The sequence below is a fragment of the Homo sapiens genome, chromosome 4 (genome assembly GCF_000001405.40).
Source record: "Homo sapiens chromosome 4, GRCh38.p14 Primary Assembly".
Classification (NCBI taxonomy): Eukaryota; Metazoa; Chordata; class Mammalia; order Primates; family Hominidae; genus Homo; species Homo sapiens.
In genome coordinates this window covers 59013104-59033975 of record NC_000004.12, presented here as the reverse complement: position 1 = coordinate 59033975, position 20872 = coordinate 59013104, and the positions used below count along the sequence as shown (strand labels likewise).

At 33.0% G+C, this 20872-nt stretch overlaps 1 long non-coding RNA gene across 2 annotated transcripts in view; it reads right to left on the bottom strand.

Moving 5' to 3' along the window:
- LINC02429 (long intergenic non-protein coding RNA 2429) overlaps window positions 1–20872 on the bottom strand; it is a 62678-nt gene that overhangs the window by 12984 nt on the left and 28822 nt on the right. Inside the window, exon 1 of one of the 2 annotated variants that reach the window (NR_133942.1) lies at window positions 20351–20403. The exons of the other annotated variant lie outside the window; for it this stretch is intronic. This is a non-coding gene — a long non-coding RNA (long intergenic non-protein coding RNA 2429). Of the gene's footprint in view, window positions 1–20350; window positions 20404–20872 lie in introns of those variants that run through there. 2 annotated transcript variants of the gene reach the window in all.

Genomic DNA, 20872 nt, shown 5'->3' with positions numbered 1-20872 from the left:
TGGGCTGTCTATTCACTTTCTTCATGATATTTTTCAAAGCATTTTTTAATTTTAAGTCCAATTTATTTATTGTTTGTTTGTTTGTTTGTATATTGGGTGTCACATGTAAAAGAAAAACAATGCCTAATTCAAAATCACAAAAACTTACTCCCAAGTTCTCTTCTGAGAGTTTTCTAACTTTAGGTCTTAAACTTAGATATGATCAATTTTAAATTACTTTTTCAATATAAAATGAGGGAGAGATATAGTTTCTAGTCCACTTTTTTTCACCATATACAAAAATCAATTCAAAATGGATTAAAGACTTAAATCTAAGACCACAAATTATGAAAGTCCTACGAAAAAACATTGGGGATGTTCTCCAGGATAATGGAGTGGGCAAAGATTTCTTGAGTAACACCCCAAAGCACAGGCAACCTAAGCAAAAATGGGCAAGTGGGACCACATCCTGTTAAAAGCTTCTGCACACAAATGAAACAATTAACAAAATGAAAATACAACCCATAGAATGAGAGAAAATATTTGCAAACTACCAATCTGTGAAAGGATTAATAACCAGAATATATAGCTCCAGCTACTCAATAGGAAAAATCTAATTATGCAATTTAAAAATGGGCAAAATATTTGCATAGATATTTCTCAACAAAAGATATACAAATGGCAAACAGGTATATGAAAAGGTGCTCAACATCATTGATAATCAGAGAAATGCAAATCAAAACTACAATGATATATTATCTTACCCCAGTTAAGATGGCTTTTATCCAAAAGGCAAGCAATAAGAATGCTGGAGAGGATTAAGAAAAAAGGAAACACTTGGTGGGAATTTAAATTAATGCAGGCATTATGGAGAACAGTATGGACATTCCTCAGAAAACTAAACATAGAATTACTATATTATCCAACATTTCCACTGCTACATATATAACCAGAAGAAAGGAAATTCATGTATCAAAGAGTATCAGCACTCCTATGTTTATTGCAGTGCTATTCACAATAGCCAAGATTTGGAAGCAGCGTAAGTGTTCATCAACAGACAAATCAATAAGGAAAATGTGATACATATACCTAATGGAATACTATTCAGCCATGAAAAAATAGAGATCCCGTCTTTTGCAACAACATGAATGGAACTAGAGGACACTATGTTAAGTGAAATAAGCCAGATTCAGAAAGACAAATTTTGCACGTTCTCACTCATTTGCGGGAGCTAAAATTTAAAACAATTGAACTCACGGAGATAGAAAGTAGAATGATGGTTACCAGAGGCTGAGAAAGATAGTGGGGGGACAGGGAAAGTGGAGATGGTTAGTGGGTACAAAAACATAGGTAGAATAAATAAGATATAGTATTTGCTAGCACAATAGGGTGACTACAGTAAAAAAAAATTATTGTGTATTTAAAAATAATTAAAAGAGTATTTTTAATTAGAATGTTTCTATAACAAAGAAATGATAAATGTTTGAGGTGATGGATACTCCATTTACCTTCATGTGATTATTACACATTGCATACCTAAATAAAAATGTCTAAGTATCCCATATGAATATATACTTACCATGTACCCATGAAAATTAAAATTTTAAAATAAATGAATTAACCATACGTATAACTTTTTATTAACAAACTTTCAATTTTCTTCCATTGAACCATAGGTATCTCCTATGCCAGTACCAAGCTCTATTAATTATGATGACTCTGAAGTATTGGTTTGCCTGTTAAAATATTGTATTTTTCTCCTGTGTTGGAAATAGACTCTAGAGGACTGAGGGCAGAAGCAGGATATCACTTTAAATATTATATTTTTAAAGAATAGATAACAAATGGTAGCAGCTTGGTTGAGTATGGTAGTGATAGAGATGAAGATAATTGGACAAATTCTGGATATATTTTGAATTTATATCCAATAATATTTGATAATTGATTAAATGTAAGGCATAAGAGAGCAGACTCAAGGATGAAGTTAATGTTTTTCTTAAGCAACTGGGAAGGAAATGGATATCGTTTACTGGGATAGGGTTGAAAAGGAGAAGCAAAATTTTGGATTAAATAAATAATTCAATTTTTGATATGTTAAGTTTCAAGTATTTCTTATATAGTCAGGTGGAAATGTAGAGCTATATATAAATCTAGCAATCAGGAGTGGGTGAAGATGTGAATTTGGCTTATAGCAAATTTTAACAACATGGAATTGCATCAGAGACTTAGATGTGAGAATAAATAAAGAACAGACAATGTTAGAGGGATAACTTCTTTGATATTTCTGCAGTTAGAAGCTGAGCTAGGAAGAGGGATTTTTGCAAAAAAACTGCATGAGGGGGAGTAGCCAATGATGTGGGCAGAACACCAGACACCTGTGGTGTACAAGAAAGCAAGCAAAGCTTTAGCAGGAGGGAATAGCGACTCTTTAAAGAACTGCAGAAGGGTATGGTAAAATGAGAATATGGTAATTAGGCACTGGATTTAACAAAATACAGATGACATTGATGGCATTGAAAAGAGCGGATTTGGTAGAGTGGTAAAGATAAAACATTATTTGGAATAGGGTTAAGAGAAAATGGCATAACAGAAAACCAAGTATGTAGGAATAGTGTAAATAAGAAGATCAATAGTGGGGGGAAGGGTACTAACTCTACCAGATATTACTACATACTAAAATTCTAAAGAATGTGGTATTTGTATATTAAAAATTTGAAAGGCCAATGGAACTGAATATAGGAAAAAAATCTGTCATCTACAATCAACTGAGAAAAAAATGGAAGTGGTAAAATTGGATCATTTTTCATACCATATGGCAAATCTTCCAAGTAGATTCAAAATTAAAATGTAAGGATAAAAACACATGTATTAGGAGAAAACATGACTTTCTTTATATTATCTAAAAAGAAAAATGTATTCTCTTACAAAAATCCAAAAGTTTTATGAAAATATATACTTTTTTAAAAATGGCAAACTGGTAATACACACATACAGCCATATACACATAAGGCAACAAAAGGTAAATTTAAATAATATTTAAAAAGCTTCAAAAATAGAGAAGAGATAAAGTGATAACAATAAAAATGGACTAGAATATGTAGAAAAATAATTAAAATGATACTATTTGAATAAATAATTGTAAACATAATAAGTTGAATTCAAATTACATATGGATACAGACACTATTTATTATCAATTGGCAAAAAAATTCAATAGTTTGAAGAACTGCTGTTGTCGAAGTAGAGAAACAGATTCTCTCAAAATTTTTTGCTGAAAATGCAAAATGGCACAACACCTGCAGAAGGTAAATTAGCAATATCTAGCAAAATTGCATATACATTTATACTTTTAAGATGACTTCTAAGAATCATTCTCAAAGAATTAATGATAAAATACAAAAACACATGTTTATCAGGTTATATATATTTTGCCAGTATATATATTTCATATATATATATATGTACATATATATACACACACACACATATACACACACACATATACACACACATACATACACACACTACTGGTATGTGTGTATATATATACACACACACACACATATATACACATACATACACACACACACTATATATATGTATATATACATATTCACGGAATCACTGAAACTATTACAGTTTAGAAATATATATTGAATTCAATTAATTATTAATTATAATTAGTAGAAAACAAATACATAAGAAAATTTGGAAATAATTTAAATTCCCATGAATAAGGTACTGATTTTATAAACTGATAAACCTACATGATAACTACATAGCTGTAAAAGTGAATGAGGAAGAATTCTCTGTTACTGGTGTAATACCAGAATATATTTTTAAATAAAAAGCAAGCTTTGTGTGTATATTTATATGTGTGTAATTGTAAATGACATATATGTAAGTATAAGTACATATTATATATTTATATATAATCAAATATACTATATAAATATTAATTCAATATATAAATTATAAAAATTAAAAAAAACTGTTTTAAGGGGGAAATGAAGGCAAAGGGTAGAACAGACTGGGATAAATCAAAGCTAAACTTCCTTGAATAAATTTGCTTTTAAAGTTTTGACTTCAGAACCATAGATATATTTCACATTAATTTAAAGAATTATTTAAAACCATCCTGAAAGATCAAAAACAGAATGAAACATATGTTCCTGGCTGTATATGGGTTAATGACAGAACCACAAAAACAATTTGTTTTTACTATTCATTATAAAATAACTTCAACTTGTAGAAGAATTTCAAGAATAAAAAAAAAAAAATCTCCTATAAACTCTTAACCAACATACAAGTGGTGAGATTTTTGCTTTATAATTCTCTCTTTCTTCCCCCATATGCTCTCTCTCTATATATAGATATAGAAAGATATAGAGAGATATATAGATATAATACATGTATAGGAATTGATATAAATGTTGATATAGGTAGATTTACATAATCATAGTGATATGGTTTTGCATCTACATATAGGTATGTAATCCTTATTAGTCTTTTTCTAAACTTGAAAGTACGTTGTAGACATCATGCTTCTGTATCCCTAAATATTTCAGTGTATAATTCTTAAGAACAAAAATATTCTTACATAATTACACTACAGCTAGCTACTTCAGACAAATTAACATTGATATAATATTATTATCTATTACAGGCTATAGGTTATTTTTTGCCAGTTGTTTAAATAATGTCCTTTGTATTAATTTGTCCCTCTGATCCAGCACCCTATCACAACTGCACATCAAATGTAATTGCCCTGTCTGTATAATATATACGTCTTTACTTTGGAGTAGATGTCTTGATTTTAGTTTTGCAGATGGATTTATGCGTCAATACGCTACTCTGCAATTTAGCAATGAGCATTCTATCTCATGCAGAAATATTTCCAGTTTTCACAAATTAGAAAACCATCCTAGGTTTCCATTGTTGATGTACATGTCTCTTTAGTTTATATTATTTATATCTTTTTATTTAGAAATGAGAAGTTGGGAGAAGGTCCTACGTCCATTTTTTTTTAATTATGTCACCTCCATGTCTTCCTATGATAAACTCACATGACATTTTACAAAACGGATGATTAAAAGAAGGAAATGTGCAATGGATAAAAGTGCAGAAAAGAAATAAAAAGGAGTAATGCTGGATGTGAAATTAGATACAATAAGAAGACAGCTGACCATGGGATATTGACACAGCTGTCATTTGAGTCTCTAGGTATGAGGCCACGGAAACTTACTGGAAGAGAACTTAGCATAAATGAGAAAGGTAGTTGTGATGAACAGAATGAACATGTCCTAGAGGAAGTAATGCTGGCAGAAAATTTTCACATTAGAAAAAAACCCTTGAAGGTGCTTCAAGACACTGAAAGAATAAAGAACACAATGCAGGAAGCCGATCCAAACTTTAAAAAGCATATGACAATTCACCAGTGCGTAAAAAAAGATAGTGCTCCACATTGTTAGGTGACAAGTAGGCAAGGATGGTTTAAACTACTTTTGATAAGTTTTCATGAAAAGTAAAACACTTTAGTTTTATGTTTTTTTCTAATTTTAGGTTTTTTTTTTAATTAATTGAACTTTTTACTATAACCAAAATTGCTTAGCATTTGAAATACTTATTTTATTATTATTATATTTTAAGTTCTGGGACACACATGCAGAATGTGCAGGTTTGTTACATAGGTATACAAGCGCTGTGGTGGTTTGCTGCAGCCATCAACCTGTCATCTACATTAGGTATTTCTCCTAATGCTTCCTTCCCCTAAACCCCCAACTCCCGACAGGCCCTGGAGTGTGATGTTCCCCTCCTGTGTCCATGTGTTCTCATTGTTCAACTCCCACTTATGAGTAAGAACATGTGGTATTTGGTTTTCTGTTCCTGTATTAGTTTGCAGAGAATAATGGTTTCCAGCTTTATCCCTGTCCCTGAAAAGGACATTAACTCATCCTTTTTATAGCTGCATAGTATTCCATGGTGTATATGTGCCACATTTTCTTTATCTAGTCTATCATTGATAGGCATTTGGGTTGGTTCCAAGTCTGCTATTATGAATACTGCTGCAATAAACATATGTGTGCATGTGTCTTTATAGTAGAATGATTTATAATCCTTTGGGTATATACCCAGTAATGGGATTGCTGGGTCAAATGGTATTTCTGGTTCTAGATCCTTGAGGAATAGCTACAAATGGGATCTAACTAAACTAAAGAGCTTCTGCACCACAAAAGAAACTATCATCAGAGTGAACAGGAAACCTACAGAATGGAAGAAAAATTTTGGAATCTATCTATCTGACAAAGGGCTAATATCCAGAATCTACAAGTAACCAAAACAAATTTACAAGAAAAAAACAACCGTATCAAAATGTGTGAAGAATATGAACAGACAGTTCTCAAAAGAAGACATTTATGTGGCCAACAAATATATGAAAAAAAGCTCATCATCACTGGTCATTAGAGAAATGCAAATCAAAACCACAATGAGATACCATCTCATGCCAGTTAGAATGGTGATCATTAAAAAGTCAGGAAACAACAGAGGCTAGAGAGGATTTGGAGAAATAGGAACATTTTTACACTATTGGTGGAAGTGTAAATTAGTTCAACCATTGTACATCCATTTTCTAAACATCACATTGCTTGAAAATGATCATCAAGGATTCAAAATTTAAAAAGTGGTAATTTATAATTTTATATAAATATCAATTAATCATGATCAATCAAATATTTTGACAACTCTGTTAAGAGAAGTGCCAATTAGTTGCAATGAATAGTTATTATAGAAGTCAAGTCTCCACATTTTTTCTCTAAATGTATATATTGTATTACAACTTCTTTAGGATATACCTTAACATGTAGGAAAATACTGTTAAAACCTCATCTAACATGGAAATCATACTTCTCTCATATACAGTGTGAAATAATTGTTCTTGGTTCATGGTATTTTAAAAAGCAAATAATTTTTCTTTATAAGTGTTGTTTACAGGCTCAACTGCAATGAAAAAATAAAATTTTAGTAGAATAGCGAGTCACATTTAAAAGCCTGAAAAAAAGGGCTGTTTAAAGTTAGAATTTTCTTAAACTACTAAGGTCAGATTTCAGAGAAAAGCAGTTAAGATGCCCTGAAGTCTGAAAAAGCAGGCTTATAGACTTACATTTCCTGTTTTTCCCTTAAAGAACTACTACCTTGCTGAGCATATGCACACACACACACACACACACACACACACACACACTACAAAATATAATGGACTTATTTTTGTCTCTGGTACATTGAGCTAGATGAGAAAGATACTTAGATATGGGCATTAATGTTCCATTAAGACTCAATAAAAGGACTTTTAGAGCAAAATCTAAATATATTGTTTTCTAAATCAAAACTCTATCAAATGAATACTCTTTAAAGCCCCCCATCAAAATCATTTTCTTTATCAATATGGTAATATATTCATTTTGAAACAGTGTAAGTAGGACATCCATTTTCAGAAATGAGCAAACGTCTAATTAGAATAAAGATGTACACATGTAAAATTAGTCTACTTCATTTATAGCTATAACTGTTATATTTAAATGATACTTATGGTTAATCAATGTTTATCAAACGTTTATATTTCATTTTTTTCAGAATTCAAGTAGATAAAAATGAGACGAATGATAGAAATTGGTGTGAAAAAAGGATTAATGGCACACAATTTAATGTATTGTAAGGATCAAGTTAATTGGCTTACTTTCATAAGCAAGACAAAGAATCTACTTTTGCTCTAAATTCCATTAGTATAAACTATTGGAAGAAACACGATTATCAGCAGGTGTATTATTCTTCTACGTTGTAAGAGCCCATCATGCTGATGAATAGTTATTCAGTAAATTCTCTATTACCTGGGAAAAAAGAAAAACCCTCAGTCATAGTTGCAAATACTATGTCTCAGCTGAGATAAGGATAAGAATCTAAGAGATTTTCTTATCATCCACATAGAACAATTGCCTAAATTGGAGATTAGAGTTTAGAAGGAGAGAAAGAATAAGAGGATCTTCAATATCACTCGAAAGCTGTTTTCTTAATTTTGAGCATCTTAAAAACAGAGTATGCATTGATTACTTTAAACCTGTGAAAACAAATTACAAGGTGTTAACAGATTTACAGACATATATAAAAATCTCTAAAACATATATGTGATTTTATATAAGAATCTCTAAAATAGCAAACTTGACTCTAAAAATTTGTATAGCTCATTTTGTCTGTCACTTATAAGATCGGCTGATTTACTGAAAGCTTAAAGTATCAGCAACAGTCCGAATATCAACACCAATTAAACTTACATTTTACTACTATTTAATCAAAATTTAAAATGTGTTTTTATATGTTCATAGTATACTACACATGGAATATCACACTTTAGTATTCACAGTAGGGATTACTATACTTAAACAGTCAAATAAAGTTTTTATATTCAAAATTTTAATTATTTGAGAATTTTACATTGATGTAGTCTACTATTTACAGATGTGATCCTTAAGAAAAAAAAAATTTGAGCAGTAATTTTAAAGGCATCCAGCAGCATTTTGGTCAACAATGACATTGATCACAGTTGGTGTTATACGTCTTTCACGTTGGGGTTTTCAACCAATAGGAAGCTACTTTTCTAATGGTAATCTCACATAGATTCTGTCAGAGAAACAGGCACAGAACAAGGCATTGAATTTTTTTCTAAAAATTCCATTAGTTTTTGTTGTTGTTCTCCTCTGTGAGATCTTTACAAACATGAAGCTGAATTTGTCAGTTTAGTTTTACTTTAATATGCATACTAAACACAACCCGGCAATATTTTTACTAGACCAGATCCTAAGTAAGCTTTTCAAATCAAACAAGGAAAAATAGCTATTGTAATAAATGAATTACCTTTAGTAGACTGAGCATTAGTCCTATTTACTGATAACTAGAGATATACTCCATTTTTAAAAAAGAAAAAGAACAACTCTTATTTCTATAAATAATTACATTTACAAATATTTATAAGGTTCTATGAGTCATAATATTGTACTTATCTTTAATTTGCTCCATCGTTAATATTCTATAGAACAATAATTAATAATAAATAAGGGAGATATTCTTGCAAGATTTTTATGCAAATAGCTGTCTCACGATGGCTTTTTCAATAGCCTGGAATTGCTTACCCAAAGGCTATATGTGGCATTGTTTAATATCTGATGGCCTCAATTTAGGTTCTTTTTTCAATCTAAAGGTAAAGTTTTAATCAGATTTATTTTCTTGACTTCCATTAGCAATTACTATGTGTTTATCCTTATCATTAATTCAAATATTTCTTCTTCAATACATATCCCTTTATAAAACTGCCATAATTTATGTCTCAAATCATTTAAACAATTTCCCATTGTTAAAAAATTTCATGATCACCCTTCTAAACTTACACTTCTTTCCTAAATTTCTGTTTCATTGAAAATGAATTATTATCTCCAAAACTCTTTATTTAATTGATCAACACATTTTTCTTGATCCTCTTTAGAAAATGCTGACTCTCTCTTTTCTAATTGCCCCTCCATTGCCATGATTTCCAGCCATTATCCTTACTAGTAAGGTGATGGTTAATTTTACATGTCAGCTTGACTGGACCATGAGATACCTAGATATTTCTTGCAACATTATCCAGTGTGTGTCTATGAGAGTATTTTAGATGAGGTTAACATGTGAATGGGTAGACTGAGTGAAGCAGACTCTTTTCACAAATATGAGTGAGCCTCATCTAACCAGTTGAAGGTCTGACCAGAGCATAAAGGCTAATCCTCCCTCACATAAAATGGAATTTCTCCTGCCTGATTATCTTGGCCTGGGACATCAGTCTTTTCCTCACATTGGACTTGAACTTAAATATTAACTCTTTTAAGGTCTTGTGACTGCTGGCCATGGGACTGGAACTTACACCATTGACTCTCCTGATTCTCAAGACTTTGAATCAGACTGGAGCTAAACCACCAGATCTCCTGGGTCTCCAATGTGCTAATTACAGAACTTGGTACTTAGCCTCCAAAATCATGTGATCCAGTTCCTTTTAATAAATAGTTCTCTGTATACATGGACATCCTATTGGTCCTATTTTTCTGGGAGATCTTGACTGAAATAACTAACATTCTTTATAACCACTTAACTTTGGTCCCTGACTATCCCTTCTTCCCAAATGTTTTCTCTGAATTGTTGCCTGAATTGTTTTTCTAACTGATACATCTGAATATTTTATTCCTTTGTTTGTATTTTATGCTTTTTTATTATCATATATTGATATTGTAACAGTAGTATTTAAATATTAATTATATGGATATTGTATCAGGATAGTATCTCCTCTTTAATTAATTGATTCCCCATTGAGCTCACATGTGGGGAAATAAACAATAAACTGCTTACCAAATAACATGCATACTATAATTTCTAGTACTAATTAATACTGAGAAGAAAAAGAACATTTATGAGGGGATTCTTACTAATAGAAGATTGCCATTTTGAATAAAGTGGCTAAGGAAGACCTGCATGAGGAAATGTTAACTGGACAAAGATAAGAGATAGTCCTAAATATCTAAGGAAACTTTATTGTTTATCTTTTCACATGCAAACTCAATGAGGAAAGAAATTTTTCCAGGTGCATTATTATTACCTATTTGCCTAGCACAATGCATGGTACATTTTTAATATACAATCAATATTAATTGAATGAATGACTAAATTAAGAAGTGATATAGTTAATTAAATGAGATATTATTTTCTCAGTTACTCACATGACTAAATCTCAGCAGAGGTACAACTAGTAAAATGTATTTTAGATTTATTATGATGATAATGCTAAAGAACAGTGGGAAACATGTATATTACAATACATGGAAAAGAGTCTTTGGGAATTCTATGGGAAATCAAAATGAAAGTCAATCATATTATACTCCATAACTCTGAGTCAATTTCATGTATATGAAACATCTAAGTTTGCAAGGGCATAGTTAACAGAAAATACAGTCGATTTTCTTTATGATGTCAGTATGGCAAACGTTTTCTTAAACATAACAGAAAAGGCACTAATTATAAAGTCAGTCAGTGATTGACAAGTTTGACTCAGTTAAAATTAAATACTTGTATTCATCAAGAGACCACTAAAATAATGGATATGTAAGGTGGTGAGTCTGATAATTGTGAAGCATAAACCAACAAAGGCTCATATTTAGAACAGGCAAACACTACTGCAAATTAATTAGAAAATGGCAGTCACCCAGTAGAAAAATGGGAAAAAATACTTAAATAAGCACTTCACAATAGAGAAAATCCAAATATCCAAGAATGTATTAAAAATGCTTAACTTTATGATTAACTAGGGGAATAAAAATTGAGGGCATTAAAACTTTGCTACTAATTGAGGGAATCATAATGTTAGGTACCACTTCATACTCACAAACACTAAATGTCTGACAAAACTAAATATTGAAGGGAATGTGTAGTAATATAGTGCTGTTGGAGTAGAAATTGATAATATTTATTTGCAAAATAGTGTGGCCTGTCTGCTGAAGTTGAATATCGTGTTCTACTAATTTTACACTGTTATGCAACTTACAGAATTTTGTGCTTATGTGTGTCAGTTTAAACGTACAGAATTTTTATAATAGCCTTATTCATAATTATCCCAACTGTAAACAAAGCAAGTGTTTAGAAGAAGTGTGGACCAATAAATTGTGTTATATCTATACAATGTTATGGTGAGAAAAATGAAAAATATATATGTATATCCAAAAAGTATGGGTAAAATTTCACATAATGTTGGCACCAAAAGCCAGAAACAAAGAAACACAAAACTGTACGTAGTATGAACTATTTACATACACTTCTGAAAAACAACACTAAACTTTATTGTTTATTTATGCATCATTACGCATGTGCAAAAAGTATCAAGAAAAGTGAGGAAGTGATTATCATAAATTCTAGAATAGTTGTGATCTCCAGGAAAGAGTAAAGAAATTGTCACCAGTAAAACACCTGTAGGCCTCTTAAGAGTGTTGACCATAATATAATACAAATGTAAATTATAGTTTGCTACAAGATTCAAGATAGAGATAAAAGGGAATAAATATAAGCTGGGAGTTGCAGTTTTAAATGGGATAATTAGGAAGAGGCTCATTGAGTGGACAATGTTTGAGCAAATACTTGAAAGAAATGAGGGAATTAGCCATGTTGTGTTGGGAGAAAGGTGGTATGGTAAGGGAGTGTTCAGTAGTAGAATACCCAGAGCAGAGACACTAATGCAGTGAGTAGAATAGTGGCTCCAAAAAACTATGTCAAAATCCTAACTCCCAGTACCAATAAATGTGACATTATTTGAAAACAGGGTCTTTACAGATGTAACTGAGAATCTCTAAGTGAGATTATTTGGATTTAGAGTAGGCCCTAATTTAACAACTAGTGTTCTTGTAAGAGAAAGCAAAAGGAGAGTTGGGACTCAGAGACATGCAGGGAACAAAGCCATGAGAAGATAGAGGCAGAGACAGAAGTCATGTAGCCCCAAACCAAAAAGTATGCCTAGAGTCACCAGACGCTGAAAAAGGCAAGGCAGGATTTTTCTCTACAGCCTTGAGTGATCAAAGTTCTGCTGACACCTCGCTATTTAATTTCCACCTCTAACACTGGGAGAGAATTCCTACTGATCTAAGTCACCAAATTTGTGGTAATTTGTTACAGCAGCCCCAGGAAACTAATATAAGGAGTATACTGAGACTGTTAATGTTGTTCTTCCCTAGTTTTCTTGATTTTTACTATTTGCTTAAGTAAATATTAAGGGTGAAAAAGTTTTTGGCCTGTGAAAATCCACAAATTTGCTTATTAGATTAATATTATATGTTATATGTCTATGTAACTCAGTAAAATATGAATCTAAGAGCCCAGGGATAGTTATGTTTTTATATATGACATATATTTCATATATAATTTGAATAATTAGGCATGATTTCATATAAAATTTAAAATTACAGAAAACATACTGAAAATTATAATTTTTTAAAATAGTCATAAACTAACCCTGCAGGGATAATCATTTGATAGATTATCTTCCAAATGTTATATCCATACTTGTTAGTATGATGGTAGTAAATATAAACTTTTAGTATTCTCCTTTTTAATTTAACTTTAAACATTTTGCCACATAATTAAGCATTCTACAAAACACAATTTTATTGGAAGCATAGAGTTTTATTCTTTGAATATAACATAAATTATTTAGCTAATCCTCCAGTACTGAAATTTAGTCTTGTCTAGTAGTTGACTGTTACAAATAATACTGTAGCAACATCCTAAGGATGACCCTGGAGCAAGTTCAAATCCTGGTTTGTTACATATTTTAATTTTGGAAAATAATTGGCTACTAAATATCCATATGTATAAACTGGCAAATGTATTAGTCCATTCTCACATTGCTATAATGAAATACCTGAGACTTGGTAATTTATAAAGAAAATAGGTTTCATTGACTCACAGTTCTGCAGGCTGTACAGGAAGCATAGCAGCCTCTGCTTCTGAGGAGATCTCAGGAAGCTTCCAATCAAGGAAGTAAAGAGGGAGCACCCACCTCACATAGCATAGCAGAAGCAAAAGAGCAATGTGGGAGGTGCAACACACTTTTAAATGACTGAGATATTATAAGAATTCACTATCACAAGGGTAGTACCACTGGGATGGCACTAAACCATTCATTAAAAACCTCCCCTATGATGCAGTCACCTCCCACAAGGTTGCACCTCCAACATTGGGGGTATCATTTCAACATGAGATTTGGGCAGGAATAATATCCAAACTATATCAGTGAAATAGTATAATAGATCTTATAAGACAGTTTTAATGCTTAAGTTAATTCATCAAGACATTTTAACTCAATTCCCAGAATATGAGCAATCTCTCAAAAGGAAATTCCAGTGTATGCCTAAAATATTATTGATCTGAAGTGGTTGTCAGTGGTTTTGGGAAAAGGAAGGGATGAATAGACAGAACACAGAGAAATTTTAAGTTACTGAAAATGTTCTATACAATATGATAATGGTCAATACATGTTCTTTATACATTTCAACAAATTCATAGAATGTGCATTAACAATATAACAGTGGAACAACAAAGTAACTAACATAAATGACTTCATTTTTATTTAAAGTGTCTTTATCTATTCCTGTATGTAGACTAGGATACATTGAGAGCGGGGGAGGGGGGAGGGATAGCATTAGGAGATATACCTAGTGTAAATGAGGAGTTAATGGGTGCAGCACACCAACATGGCACATGTATACATATGTAACAAACCTGCACGTTGTGCACCTGTACCCTAGAACTTAAAGTATAATAAAAACAGCAATCATATAATTTTTGAAACTAAATCTGGGATTGAAGTGTAAGTAGGTAAACACCTAAGTTTTGTTACATAAGTATAAGAAGCAAGGAGGAGGTGGGGCAAGATGGCAAAATAGAATCCTCCAGCAATCATTCACATCCCCTGTAGACACACCAAACTGAACATATTCACACAAGAAAGCATCTTTAAAAGAACCAAAAATCAGTTGCGTGATCACAGTACATAATTTTAACATCATGTCAAGGAACGAGGCACTGTGTAAGGAAGAAAAGGCAATCTTGAATTGTTGTTACACCTCTTCTCCATGCTCTGACATTAGCAGTGGCCATAAGACACACAGAGAGAATCTGTGTGCTTGGGGGAGAGAAAGCACAGTGATTGTCGGAGTTTGCTTTGAAATTCAGTGCTACCCTGCAAAGCAAAAAGCAACACAGTAGAGAAATCACCCAGTACCCATTCGGGGCACATTTAGACCAGCTGTAGCCATAGGTAAATTGTCCATCTCACCGGTTGGAATTTGAGTTCTGGCAAGCTGCACCTATGTGTGCCAAACTGCTCTGGGGGCCTAAATAAACTTGAAAGGTAGTCTAGGCCACAAGAACTTCAATTATTCAGCAGGTCCTGGTTCTGTGCTGGGCTCAGAGCCAGTGAACTTAGCATGCACATGACTTAGCAAGATACCAACTGGGGTGGCCGAGGGAGTAATTGCATCACTCCTTCCCCAACCACAGGCAGCACAGCTCACAGCTCTAGGAGCAACTCCTCTCTTCCACTTGGGGAAGGTATACGGGAGAAGAAAGAAGACTTTCTCTGGTATCTTGACTATCAGCTCAGCCACAGTAGAATAGGAAAACAGACAGAGTCATGAGGCCCTCATTTATGGTACTAGCTCCCCAAGGACATTTCTAGACACACCCTGGGCCAGAAGGTAACCCATTGTCTTGAAGGAAAATACCCAGTCCTGGTAGGATTCATTGCCTTCTGACTAAAGATCTCTTAGGCCTTGAATAAATACCAGCACTTGCCATGGGGTTTGGGTGAGACCCAGTGCCACAGTGGCTTCAGGTGTGACCCAGCACATTCTCAGCTGTGGTGGCCATGAGGAGAGACTCCTTCTGCTTGAAGAAAGGAGAGGGAAGGGTAAAGGAAGCTCTGTCTTGCAGCTTGGGTACCACCTAGACCATAGTGAAGTAGAGCACCAAACAGGCTCCAGGAGCTCCATTCCAGACAATGGCTCTTAGATGGTATTTTTGGGCCTGCCCTGGGCCAGGAGGGAGCCTTCTGCCCTCAATGGCAAGACCTAGGGCTAGCAGCATTCACCACAAGCTGACTGAAGAGCCCTTGGATCTTGAGTGAATGCTGGTGACAGCCAGGTAGTACACAACATGGACTCAGGGAAAGGGAGGCTGTCATGAAAGACTCCATCTGCTTGACCAAAAAAGAGAGAAGAGTGAGAAGAACTTTCTTTTGCAGCTTGGGTGCCAGCTCAGCAACAATAGAACAGAGCACAAAGTACATTCCTAAGGTTTCTAATTCCAGGCCCTGGATCCCAGATGGCATCTCTGGACTCACCTTGGCTATTAAGGGAAGGCCACAACCCTGTATTGATTCTTCACCTGATGATTGTAGGGTCCTTGATCCTTGAGGAAACAGCAGCAGTAACCAAGTAGTGGTCACCATGGGCTTTGGGCAAGAACCAGTGTTGTGCTGGCTTTGGATCTGACCCAGTGCAGCCCCAGTCATGGATGACACAAAGCTGCTTGTGTCACTTTCCCACCAATTCCAGACAACTTAAAAAGAAGAGTTTCTGTTTATTTGGGGGTAAGTAACACAAAAGAACAAGAGTCTCTGCCTGATAATTTAGGTACTTCTCCCAGATCTTACGGTGGTAGCTCTATAATTCTGCAAAAATCATAGCATTATTATGCTTAGGATACCACCTAATGCAGATATGGCTGCAGTGAGCAAACACTTAGATCACAACATTCAATTCTCTTTGAATACTTGGAAAGTCTTCCCAAGAAAGACAGAAACTAACAAGCCCACCTTGTGAATACTACAATAAATTCCTAACTCTTCAAGGCCTGGACATTAATAAACATATATCAGCATCAAGATCATTTAAAAAAACATGACCTCACCAAACAAGCTAAATATGGTACCAGCGACCAGTCCTAGAGAAACAGAGATATGTGACATTTCAGAAAGAGAATTCAAAATAGCCATTTTGAGGAAACTCAAACAAATTTAAGATAACATAGAGAAGAAATTCAGAATCCTATCAGATACATTTCACAAAAAGATTGAAATAGTTAAAAATAATCAAGGAAAAATTATGAAGCTGAAAAATTTAGTTGACATAATGAATAAAGCATCAATCAGAGTCCCTCGATAGAAGAACTGATCAAGCAGAAGAAAGAATTAGTGAGTTTGGAGATAGGCTATTTGAAAATACATAGTCAGAGAAGACAAACAAAAATCTTAAAAAAGAATAAAGCATGCATACAAGATTTAAAAAATAGCCCCCAAAAGGCAAATGTAAGTGTTCTTGGCCTTACTGGAGATGTGAGAAAAATAGCAGCAGGAAGTTTATTCGAAGTGATAACTATAGAGAATTTTCCAAACCTAGAAAGACAACAATATCTAAGTATGAGAGAGTTATAGGACACCAAGACTTAGCCAAAGGAGGAGTATCTTAAGACCTTTAATAATTAAACTCCTAAAGGTCAAGGATAAAAAAAAAAAAAAAAAGAAAGTAAAGAAAAGGAAAGAAAAAAGGATCCAGAAGCAGTAAGAGAAAAGAAACAAATAACATGCAAATCAGCTCCAATACATCTGACAGCTGACTTTTCAGTAGAAACCTTACAGGTCAGGAGAGAGTGGCATGAAATATTTAAAGTGCCGCAGGAAAAAACAAACAAACAAACAAAAACAACTTCTAAACTTTAATAGTATATATAGTGAAAATATATTTAATCGTGAAAAAAATAAACACTTTCTTAGACAAACAAATGCTGAGGGAATTCATCAGCACCAGACTTGTTCTATAGGAAATGCTAAAGAGAGTTCCTCAATCTGAAAGAAAAGGACGTTAGTGAGCAAGAAGAAATCATCTGAAGGTATAAAACTGACTGGTAAGCCAGGCACAGTGGCTCAAACTTGTAATCCCAGCACTTTGGGAGGCCGAGGCAGTGGATCACCTGAGGTCAGGAGTTCAAGACCAGCCAGGCCAACATGGCGAAACCCCGTCTCCATTAAAAATACAAAAATTAGCTGGGTATGGTGGCGAACACCTGTAATCCCAGCTACTTGGGAGCCTGAGGCAGGAGAATCACTTGAACCCAGGAGGAAGAGGTTGCAATGAGCCAAGATCATGCCACTGCACTCCAGCCAGGGCAACAGAATGAGACTTCATCTCAAAACAAACAAACAAACAAACAAACAAACAAACAAACAAATCAAAAAACCTCACTGGTTCCACTGGTAATAATAAAGACACAGACAAAATATTATAACAGTGCAATCAATTGTGGTGTGTAAGATACCTGTATCTTTAGTAGAAAGACTAAAAGACAAACCTACCAAAAATAATAACTATAACAACTTCTCAAGAAATAAACAGTATAACATTAATAGAAACAACAAAAAGTTAAGGAGATGTATTTAAAGTGCAGAGTGTTTTATTAGTTTTCTCTTTGCTTGTTAGTTTTTGCATTCAGTGTTAAGTTGTAATCAGCTTAAAACAATAAGTATAAGATGTTATTATAAAAATTCATGGTAATTTCAAACTAAAAAAACCTACAACACATGAACAAAAAATAAAAAGCAGGAAATTAAAACACAGCAGCAGAGAAAATCCTCTTAACAAAATAGAAGATAGAAAGGAGAAAAAAAGTAAGAGAAGACTGTAAAACAACCAGAAAATAAATAACAAAATACCAGTAGTTAGTCTTTACTTTCAATAATAACACTGAATATAAATGCACTAAACTCTCCAAAAAACAGAGTGTCTGAATGGATTTAAAAAATGAAAACAAGACACAATGATTTATTGCCTGCAAAAAAGCATGATTTCCATATAAAGATATACATCTTTATTTAATAAAATAAAAGGATGAAAAAATATATTTTATGAAAATGGAAATAAAATAGAGCAGGAATAGCCACATTTATATCTGATAAAATAGATTTCAAGATTAAACTATAAAAAGAGACAAAGAAGATCATTATATAATGATAAAGAGGTCAATTCAGGAAGAGAATATAAAAATTGTAAATATATATGCACCCAACACTGGAGCACCCAGATAGAAAAGCAAATATTAAAGAGAGAGATAGACCCTAATAAAATAATAACTGGATATTTCAACTCCCCACTTTCAGCATTAAATAGATCATCCAGACAGAAAATCAACAAAGAAACATAGGAATAATGTGCACTATAGACAAATGGACCTAATGGATATTTACAGCACATTTCTTCCAGTGGCTGTAATACACAGTCTTCTCTTCAGTAGATGGAACATTCTCAGAGATAGACCCTATATTGGATCACAAAACATGTCTTAAAACATTCAAAAAATTAAAATCATATCAAGCATCTTTTCTGACTAAAATAGGATAAAACTAGAAATGCACAATGTGAGGAACTTTGGAAATAACAGAAACACATGGAAATTAACCAATATGTTTCTCAATGGCCAGTGAGGTCAATGAAGAAATTCACAAGAATGTTTTTAAAATCCTGGAAACAAGTGAAAATGCAAATACAGCATATCAAATCCTACGTGACACACCAAAAGCAGTACTAAGAGAAAAATTTCTAGCAATAAGTGCTCCCTCTGTCTCTCTCTCTCTCTCTCTCTATATATATATATATATGAGGAAAAATTTAAATAAACAAACTAATGATGCATCCTAAATAACTAGAAAAGCAAAACAAATCAAACTCCAAATTAGAAGAAAAGAAACAACAATGATAAGAGCAGAAATAAATGTATTAATCCCCCCAAAATAACAAAACAAAAATGAAATAAGAAGTCGACTTTCCGAAAAAATAAACAAAATCAACCAACATTTAGCGAGACTAGCTAATAATAAACAGAAGATTAAAATAAAAAGAGTCAGAGATAAAAAAGGATACATTACAACTGATACCACAGAAATTCAAAGGATCATTAGAGATTGTATTAGGCAGGGTTCTCTTACAAGAACAGAACTAATACATATATTCCATTTACATATATAAATACATATATAACTTATATATATACATATATAACATATATATATATACACATACATACATATGCATATGTACACACTTATATACAGGTGAGTTTATTAAGTTTTAACCCAAACAATCACAGGGTCCCACAATAGACCATCTGTAGGCTGAGGAGCAAGGAGAGCCAGTCTGAGTTCCAAAACTGAAGAACTTTGAGTCCAATTTTGAGAGCAGGAAGCACCCAGCATGGGAGAAAGATGTAGGTTGGGAGGCTAGGCCAGTTCCTCTTTCCACATTTTTCTGCCTGCTTATATTCTAGACATGCTGGCAGCTGATTAGATTGTGCCCACCCAGATTAAGTATGGGTCTGTCTTTCCCAGCCCACTGACTTAAATGTTAATCTCCTTTGGCAGCACCCTCACAGACACACCCAGGATCTATACTTTGTATCCTTCAATCGTTCAATCCAATCAAGTTGACACTCAATATTAACTATCGCAGAGACTACAATAAGCAACTATACACCAATAAATAGGAAAAGCTAGAAGAAATGACTAAATTACTAGACAAATAAAACCTACCAAGATTAAACCTAGAACAAATTCAAAACCTAAATAGACCAGTAATAAGTAATGAGATCAAAGCCATAAATATATATATATATATGTGTGTCTCCCAACAAAGAAGACCTGAGATGCATTGGTTTCACTGATGAATATTGCCAAACATTTTTTAAAAAATAATACCAATCCTACTCACACTTTTCTGAAAAATGCAGGAGAAAATACTTCCAAAATCTTTCTATGAGGCCAATAGTACCCTGATACCTAAATCAGAAAAAAAAAAATTTTAAAAAACTATAGGTCAATATCCCTGATGAATATCAATGCACAAATTCTCAACAAAATACTAGCAAATTGAATTTAACAATACATTAAAGACATCATTCATCACGACCAAGTGGAATCCATCCCAGTAATTCAAGAATGGTTTAATATATGCAAATCAATCTATATGATACAGCATTATCAACAGAATGATAGGCAAAAATTATATATCATTTTAATTGATACTTAAGAAAATAAAATTTAACAACTCATCCTAATAAACACCCTAAAAAAACTGGATGTAGGAGAAACATATCTCAACATAATAAAAGACAAGTATAATAGGCATACAACTAATATCATACTTAATTTGAAAAAACTGAAAGACTTTCTTCTAAGATTTGAAACACAACAAGTCTGTCCACTTTCATCATTGTTCCTCAACACAGTACTG